Here is a 9867-nt window from a genome sequence, read left to right on the forward strand (position 1 = left end):
TGCTGGGAGTCAGCATAGAGCTAAAGTATAGAGTTAAAGCTTGGGCTCAGGAGTTGGACTGACTGGAGCTCCAATCCTAGCTGTTCATTAATCTTTCTCAATTTGACTTTCTCCTCTGTGAGATGGAATTAAAAATAGTTGCTGCCTTATTGAGCTATGAGAATTAAATGTGCTATGTGATGTAAGGTAAGCACTTAGCAGAGTTCCCAGCCTACAGTAGGTGTCATGAAGAGTTAACTCTTAGGAGGGTTAAGCCTTGCCCTGTCCCAGGTACTGAGGATGCTCTTGTTTATGTCTTGGGATTGTCTGAGGTATAGCTGTTTCAGGAAAAGGTTTGATAAAACTGGTATCTGAGGGAGAGTGGTCTGTCAACACCTTGCAGGATTGCGTGGGGAAAAAAAAGAAATAGCAATAGGATAGAGTTGGCTGCCCTTGGGTTAGGTGCCCCCGCCTAGTCCAGTTGGTCGTGGGGCCCGGGAAGGGCAAACTGAAGCCAAGCTAGTTAGGCAGGAGAAGCCTAGAAAGGACCATCCCCTTAGCAAGGGATGTGAATAGATGAAACCAGCCTTGTGCACTGTAGAGAGATTTGTCTACACCCTTCCTGCCTGTATTAATATTTTCAACATTTATCATTTCTAATCATGTTGATTGAGTTTGTCTAAAACTTTCCCAAGTTTACTGTTCACCATAAAAATCCACGCTTTATTTATTTATTTTTCTAAAATGACCTTTCTAAACCTTCAAGGGTTTGATATCCAGGAATCTCGTGACCAAGCCCATGCACTCCACCCTTTCCCTTCCTTTGTTTCAGAGATCTGTCCTCTCCATCCTCATCCTCTGCCACTCTGGACTGAAGATCCTAATGCTTCCCATCTTCCCCGATCTCCACGCCCTTGACTGTTGCATTGGCCCTTCCCTAGGCCTTCTGCAGCTCAGTTTGTCCTTTTTGATGTGCAGGGAGAAGTACGCACAGCATTTTTCAAGTGAAAGCAAGTTTCTGTTTACAAAGCTCTTCCTGGAGACCCCAGCCTCCTGCTGGCCCTTCAGCCACATCACCCCATGTCACCTGTCAAGCCAAATGATTACCTCTTGGCTTCCTTCACCTTCTGCATTCCCTCAGGGACAGACAGCCTCTCCAAGACTCTCTGAAAATAACTCTTAGCCAGACAATAGCAATTTCTCCTTGCTGTGCTGCCATTCTCTGCCAAAGGTAAGAAATCAGTAAGAAGCAAAACGATTTTGCAGCCAGGAGAATTCTAATCCCAGGCTAAGCATCTGCACATCCCAAATGCCGCATTCAGGGCACGAGTCTGACAAACAGACGACACTGCCACAGTTGTGAGAACAGAGCTGTTCACAATCTGCCGGCTTCCTCCCAGAGCGGTGGGGAGAAGCTTTCCATCAGTGCCAGCCCCTCCGATCACACCCCTAAAGCATAGCTGCAGTGAGCAATTTCCTTCCAAACAGCGTGAGCTTAGATCTACATGAAACGAACTGGACTGTGTTCATCAAAACAGCTTCAGCAACTGTGTGAGCTGTTCCATTTCCTATGTTCCAATACAAGCCTTTCCAAGGTTTTGACTATAAATTCTAACCTTGGACTTACCTTTCTTTTTCCCAGAGACATGCTCATGTGTGTGCACGCTCATGTGTGTACATCTAACTATTCATGTATGTCTCTCCTTCTCGGTGTCTGTCCACATCTTTCTGTTTGCTTCTCTGTTTATGTTATCATGCTTTCTCTGTCTCTGTCTCTCTTTTCCCTCCTCCTCCTCTGTTTCCCCCCTTTCTTTTCCTCACTCCTTTCCCCCCTCTGTCTCTCGGTCTTCCTTCCTTCTCTTTGTCTTCTCTTGCTCTGTCTCTGTTTGCCTCTCTCCTCAAATCTCTGCTCATTCCCCTGATGCCTAAAGCTGCACAAACAAGCCAGCTCAGCCCACCTCTCAGAAATGATAAAATACTGGCTTTGAAACAGTAGTCATCTGCTCATGCCCTCTCCGTCTGTCCCGATATCCCACCCTAAAGATTTCCACTAATTCACACTTGATAAGCCCCAACATAAGAAATACAGTAGAAAAAAAATCCTAAAAAACAAACTACACCCAACTTAACTCTTCCGTGTTCATGGAAACTTGTCGATACCACAGATTAGATTAAGCTGACCTTTCCCAGCTGCAGTGATCTTTATTGTGACACTGCAGTGCTTTCTAAAACATGGCAGATAAAACCATCAGAGTTTTGGTGGGGGTTGGGGTATTTTGTTACTCTTTGATTTTTAGAAAATTGGTCATTTGTGTATGGTACAATTTGTGAGTGCAATGGTGCGATCTCGGCTCACTGCAACCTCCTATTCCTGAGTTCAAGCAATTCTCCTGCCTTAGCCTCCGGAGTAGCTGGGGTTACAGGCATGCGCCACCACGCCCAGCTAATTGTTTGTATTTTTAATAGAGATGGGGCTTCTCCATGTTGGTCAGGCTGGTCTCCAACTCCTGACCTCAGGTGATCCACCCGCCTAGGCCTCCCAAAGTGCTGGGATTACAGGTGTGAGCCACCGCACCCAGTCGTTTATGGTATAATTTATATACTAATTTATAATTAACTAGAACATTAGATTACCCTAAATACCCTTTTCCCTAATTGTGCCACATGGCAGAGGCACCAAGGAGATGGCTGTACAGATTGTTTGTGTCACGTATGGGAGATAATACAGAAATGTGTGTAAATGTCTAAGAGTATCACACTGAATATGACCCAGAAGCATGTGTAAAAGTCAGTAGACCTCAAATAACACCTTGGGGGTTCTGATGGCAATAGCAGCTGCCTCTGATCAACACTGATTGCGAATCTGCCCCTCCTGACCCATGCTTTCTGGGGCCTCTGCCCTAGAAGGGTCACTTCCTCCTATTAGCTTGATCTGCCTGGCCCCTAAGCCTCACGTGCCATCGGGTCTCAGCCTCTGAGGTGTGGATGCTGCCCATCTCAGCCCTCCTGAGTGTAGATGACGCCTCAACAGCTCTGTCTTGCTTGCACTTAGAATGAGACTCTGTCCTGCATGGACTTGTCCCAGTTGTCATAAATTACACAATCATCAGTCTGAAAGGGACCTCAGAGTTCTCTACTTCAATCTCGCATTTGACTAATGAGTACGGTGACTGGTGTGTCCACACGGCCTCAATGTATGCATCTTGTCCTGACACGATTATTAATAGCTCCCTCTTTTCCTTTCAAATATGTCCTAATGTGGATGATGTATTATATGGTCTCCTGACTAATGAGAGAAAACAACTTAGCCAGGCCCCGGGCCTACACCTAATCATCCAGAGTTTTTATTTTTTAATAATCATTATACTGTGTTGCCTCTTTCACATTAGGTATTTCTTTAGAACAGTGCTTCTTAACCAAAATCACCAAGAGAGCTGTTTTCATTTTTCTTTTCTTTTCTTTCCTTTTCTTTTCTTTTCTTTTCTTTTCTTTTCTTTTCTTTTCTTTTCTTTTGAGGCAGAGTCTCATTCTGTTGCCTAGGCTGGAGTGCAGTGGTGCGATCTTGGCTCACTGCAAGGTTCATGCCATTCTCCTGCCTCAGCCTCCCAAGTAGCTGGGACTACAGGCGCCCGCCACCACGCCCGGCTAATTTTTTTTTTTTTGTATTTTTAGTAGAGACGGGGTTTCAACGTGTTAGCTAGGATGGTCTCGATCTCCTGACCTCATGATCCGCCCACTTCGGCCTCCCAAAGTGCTGGGATTATAGGCATGAACCACCGTGCCTGGCCAAGAGCTGTTTTCAAAACACAAATGCCTTGCCTTGAATAACCTCCCGGGGTAGAGTCTGGACATATGTCTTATGTCAAAGTTTCCAGGGCGATCCTTATGTACAACACATTTCTGTTTCAGAACCCCTGCTTAGAGAAAACAGGTGATTAGGAGAGCCTGCTAAATCCCCAAAATCATGTGGCAAGATGGATTACTTCCATGCTAACAAATGTGGCCAGCCATATGCCAGACTCCAATGCTTCATTATTCATAACCCCATTTTGGTTTGGGATGTGCCCTGTAACTTAAAATCAGGCTGAACAGGGAGCTAAACCCCAGAGGTGATTTCTGTCATGGGTCCAGCTCCAGAAGACAGACAGAAAGATTTATTTGACCTATGGAGGTTTCCTTTCATTTGACTTTCTGCTTCCTGTTTGCTCCATCATGCAATCGGAGGTCAAGGAAACAGACGAGGGCGGATTTGTTTTATTCCGTCACAGATGAAAGTTATTGCCACATAGTAGCTTTGAGATAAGCCAAAAAGCAATGCTGATCACCAGCAATGTGGAGCTGGTGACTGGAAGAGACTTAGTAAAAGACAGGACTGCTCCTGACATTTTGCTGGGAAGCAAAGAAACCAGAAGACATGCCTCCGTGCCAGGAAGGAGAAAGTAAACCACAGCTGGAAACCTAAGCGGAGGAAGAATGGTAATTAATCAGTGCCTGCAAGCCATCTGCTTTCTTTGGTTGGGAGGTCTGTATCGGCAGCGCTAGCTACAGATGCTTGAGAGCAGGCTGGGTGCTGGAAAAGGGATGGAACTTTCCTGTTCAGGGAAGGTATAAAAATCCATCTTGCAGAATACAGGGGCTGTAAGAGCCAGCCTCACTTGGGCAACATTAGTAGGTTTTTGCTCCCTATCTGGAGTGGTTATAGGTCGACTTTCTTTGGTTTGAGTTTTTGTGTTACGTTGTTGTTTCACAAATTGAAAACCATTACCTGTACTTACAGTGATGCATAAAGAAATGATCACACATGTTTTTTTTCTTTTCTTTTGTTCCAAAATGCCAATTTAAAACACAGCAGCCAGGCGCAGTGGCTCATGTCTGTAATCCTAGCACTTTGGGAAACTGAGGCAGGAGGATCACTTCAGCCCAGGGGTTTGAGACCAGCCTTGGCTGTACTGCAAGACCCTGTTTTGACAAAATTTCTTTTTTAAAACATCAGCTAGGCATAGTTGCACACGCCTGTAATCCCAGCTACTCAGGAGGCTGAGGTGGGAGGATCGCCTAAGCCCCAAAGGTCAAGGCTGCAGTGAGTTGTGATCATACCATTGCACTCCAGCCTGGGTGACAGAAGGAGATCCTATTTCAAAATAAATAAACAGTAAATCAATTTTTTGAAAGGTATTTACCCACGGTCAAAGAGAATGACCCTGGAAAAGTGAAAAAAACAGAAGCTAAGATATTTATATAAAGGGGTGGGATGAGGATACAGAAAGCAGGTGGGGGATTGATTTAGCTCTGACTGGAAAGGTAGATTGTAAAGGAGTTCAGATGGAGGTGGGTGATGATAAACAGGTGAGGCCTTTGGAAGGCTCCATGCTGAGCTGCTGAACCAGCAGGATCCAGCCCACTCTGAAGAGTCAGGTAACCACCCCTCAGCTCACTCTCCCATAAGCAATGGGAAATATTTGTTTTGTTTTCTGGAGAAATTGAACTGAAGATTAGGGGAGCAGCTGAAGACACAGGAGGCCTCATGCCGCAGTTCAGGGTGTTACAAGGCCTGCCTGCTGCTGAACTGTGAGGCCCCCAGCCCTCCACCTCGGCCCTGCTCCTGGAAGGCAGCAGTCACGGGCACATCCCTCCCACCCCAGGGAAGAGAATGAAAGATTCTTCTTTGGAGAAACTAATCGGCTCCAGAGGAATGATCTCTGCACAATGAAAATTGAGAGTTTACCAATGGAAAAACAAAAATAAAACCCATATGCTCCTTGATACCTTACAGAGGAGACTACAGTTTGACAAACTGCACCCGGTACGAGTGCGAAGACAGCCAAGGAACAAGTGAGGGTGGAATAAGACATTTCAAACACAGAACTCACAAACTTCTTCTCCCACATACTGTTCTTCAAACTCCGGGTAGCCTGTGCTTTGGCAAAAATAAACAAGAAAACCAACAAAGAGGAAAATGTGGGATCCAGTAAACAAGAGTTGTAATACAGAATTGCAGTGAAGGGAAGTCCTGGGATCGCAACTGTGCATCAAGCTTAGGAAGGAATGAGCCTGGACGGAGCAGAAAGATGGAGAAATACGGCTGGGCATGGTGGCTCATGCCTGTAATCCCAGCACTTTGGGAGGCCGAGGCCGGGGGACCGCTTGAGGTCAAGAGTTCCAGACCAGCCTGGCCACCATGGTGAAACTCCATCTCTGTTAAAAATACAAAAGTTAGCCAAGGCATGGTGGCGGGTGCCTGTAGTCCCAGCTACTCAGGAGGCTGCAGTGGGAGAATCACTTGAACCCAGGAGGTGGAGGCTGCAGTGGGTCAGGATGGCACCACTGCACTCCAGCCTGGGCAGCGGAGTGAGACTCCATCCCCCACCGTCCACCAAAAAAAAAAAAAAAAAAAAAGATGGAGGACATGAAGGATAATGTTCATAAGAAAACAATGGAAGCAGAAATAATCTAATACATTTCAAGCTGTGCAAAAATAATTCCCAGGTATTTGAAAGATGATGAAGCCTTAGAGAAAAAATAAAGATTAAGACATGTAAAGCTAATCAGATAAACAAATCAGGTAATTATTAATTATAGGAAAAAATAATGAGAAAAGATACTAACAGCCAGCTTCTGAGATAGTCCCTGATGATCCTGCATCCTGGTTTTCATATCCTTGTATAATCTCCTCCCATATTCAGTAGGGCTGACCATGTAACAACTAGGATTTTGCAGAAATGGTGGCATGTGAGTTTTAAAGCTAGGTTATAAAGAGAAATTGGGGCTTTCAGCTTGCTCTCTTAAATCAATTGCCCTGGAAGAAGCCAGCTCTCATGATACAATTAACAATAACACTCAAGCATCCTTAGGGCCAGGACCCAGCCAACACCAGCATACCTTGCCAACCATTGGACTGAGCCACCTTGGAAGATACTCTACACAGTCAAGCCTTCAAGTGACTTCAGTCCCCAGTCAACACCTTGACAGTAAGTTCATGAGAGACCCCCAAACCAGAACCACCAGCTTACATCACTCCTGAATTCCTGACACACAGAAACTATGTACAATGTGTAATATTGTTTTAAGGTGCTAAGTTTTGGAGTTCATTTTGAGTATGAAGGCTTCGGTACCTGGAAGTTGAGCAAGTCATGACAAAAAACTAAAAATGTGGGTGTAAATCTAGACTGAGTATTGGTTAAGAGCTGGAAGGACTTTGAGGGTAGTGTTAATGAAAGCCTAAAGAATATTACAGATATTGTTAGTAGAAGCCTGATGGCCTTTGAGAACAAAAAAAAAAAGTAGGGGAAATGTTATTTTAAAATGGAGAAACGAGAATCCTTGTTATAAAACAGCAGAAAGTTTAGCAATACTTTTGCCTGTCCTAACATGGAAAAATTAAAAACTACCTAATGAGGTAGGTAATCTAGCTGAGGAGGTTTCCTGGCAGAATGTGGATGGTACCACATGGTTTCCTTTTTCTGATAAAAATAAAATGTGAGCATAGAGAGGCCACAGAAAGACTCTTAAGCAAAACAAAGATGGAACTTGATAGTTTGAAAATTCCCAGCATCTCTAGGTGGCAAATGATCCTAAAATTAAGAAATGGCATCTATACAAAGATAAAATCCACTGAAGTGTCAGGAAAACATGATATAAAGATGAAGCTGAGGGTCTGGTTGTAACAAAAACAACTGTTAGAACTTCAAATATATCTAAAGCAATGTCTCAGGCCACTGTTTTTATTTTTATTGTTGTTGTTTTTTGAGACACAGTCTCACTCTGTCGCCTAGGCTGGAGTGTAGTGGCACGATCTCGGCTCACTGCAACCTCTGTCTCCTGGGCTCAAGCAATTCTCCTGCCTCAGCCTCCCAAGTAACTGAGATTACAGGCGTGTGCCACCACACCCAGCTAATTTTTTATTTTTAGTAGAGACGAGGTTTCACCATGTTGGCCAGGCTGGTCTCGAACTCCTGACCTCAGGTAATCTGCCTGCCTCAGCCTCCCAAGGTGCTGGGATTACAGGTGTGAGCCACCGTGCCCAGCCCTCAAGCCACTGTTAGTCAGACAAGGCTTCTAAGAAGGCTAAGGGCATTGTCCTTTCCTCATCTCAGCAAAAGCCCAAAGTAGAGAAGGTTTATATCAAAGAAATTCCTGGATATGGCTTTTGTCTAATGGCATAAACCCCAATAAGATTCATGGGAGATATATAACGATTTTATAAGAATTGTGTTGGCTAAAATACCTCCAGCTTGAACTAAAAGGAATAGAAAGAGAACAAATTATAAAGAGGACTTAGGGTCCCCAAACTTCTACAGGCAGAAAGCAGGCTGAGAAAACATCTCAGCTGTATACATGGGCTACCTTTGATGGAAATGAAAGAATGATTCTGAAAGTGGAAACAAATGTTCAGTGGGCATAGCCAAGAGCCATTAAAAGTCCTGCCCAGGTCTTGAGTCTTAACTAAGAAACTGTCAACTGCATCGTGCTTGATTTAAGAATTGCTATGGCCCACTGTCTCCTGTATGTTTTCTCATTTCTTCCTTTTTACTGGGAGGGTTCTAGCAGTTTTCATATTCCTGTTTCACCAATGTGTGTTGGGTGTGTGGCTGCAGACAAATTCTCTCTTTAATTCACAGGTCTTCCAATTAAGAGGAACTGTGTTTGAAGAGCTATTATTAAAGAACCACCCCTGAGAAGCTTTATTTTCCCCTGGACCCAATTTAGAGAATGACATACTGGACTTCTGGCTGATGCTGTAATGGGGTAAGACTTTGGGGGACCTTAGGAGGCAGGTGAGTGAACTTTGCATGTGTGAGAGATATAAATTATTGGGATTGATATTTTTTCTTTTTAAAATAGTTCATTTGTAATTGCTGTAGATGCACAAGTTATACATATTTATAGGGTACTTGTGACATTGATACAAGCCTACGACATGTAATGATCAAACTGGGGTGATTAGGGTATCCATCACCTCAAGCACTTATCATTTCTTTGTGCTAGGAACATCCCAATCTCACTCTTTTAATTAATTTGAAATACAAAATAAATCTTTCTTAACTATAGTTGCCCTATTGTGCTACTGAAAACTAGATCTTATTCTTTCTGTCTGATTGTATTTTTTGTACCCATCAATCATCCCCTGTTTAGCCCTCCTCTCCACTACCTTTCCCAGCCTCTGGTAACCAACCCTTCCCAGCCTCTGGTAACCATCATTCTATTCTCTGTTTCCATTAGTTCAATTTTTTTTTTATAGCTTCCACATATTAGTGAGAACACATGATATTTGTCTTTCTGTGCCTGGCTCATTTCACTTGACATAATGTCCTCCAATTCCATCTATGTTGTTGCAAATTACCAGATTATTTTTTATGGCTAATATGTCATTGTGTATATATGCCACATCTTCTTTAGCCATTCATCTGCTGATAGACACTTAGGTTGATTCCACCTCTTGGTGTGGGATTGACATCTTGACTGAAATCTCCTGAGAGACTCCCAAACCAGAACTACACAACTAAGCTATTCTCAAATTCAAGACCCACAGACTGTGTGAGATAATAAAGGTTAATTATTGTTTTAAGTTGCTAAGTTTTGATGTAATTAGTTTTGCAGCAATAAATAACTAATACAAAAATGAATCACAATATTTGGATCAGCAATAAATTTTATATAATGTAAAAACATCAATAATTTAAATTAATTAAAATAAATTAATATTTAAAAGTTGGATGGCCAGGCACAGTGGCTCACGCCTGTAATCCCAGCACTTTGGGAGGCCACATCATGAGGTTGGTAGATCATGAGGTTAGGAGATCGAGACCTCACTGGCTAACACGGTGAAACCCTGTCTCTACTAAAAATACAGAAAATTAGCTGGGCGTGGTGGTGAGGACCTGCAGTTCC

General features: G+C 43.5%; 1 long non-coding RNA gene across 1 annotated transcript in view; it reads left to right on the forward strand.

Annotated features, from left to right (window-relative positions):
• Nucleotides 1–9122, forward strand: part of LOC105379231 (uncharacterized) — a 62356-nt gene extending 53234 nt beyond the window's left edge. The window contains exon 3 of the long non-coding RNA XR_002956685.1: nt 8598–9122. This is a non-coding gene — a long non-coding RNA (uncharacterized LOC105379231). The remainder of the gene's footprint in view (nt 1–8597) is intronic.
• The last annotated feature ends 745 nt before the right edge of the window (nt 9123–9867 follow it).

The sequence above is a fragment of the Homo sapiens genome, chromosome 8 (genome assembly GCF_000001405.40).
Source record: "Homo sapiens chromosome 8, GRCh38.p14 Primary Assembly".
NCBI classification, from domain to species: Eukaryota; Metazoa; Chordata; class Mammalia; order Primates; family Hominidae; genus Homo; species Homo sapiens.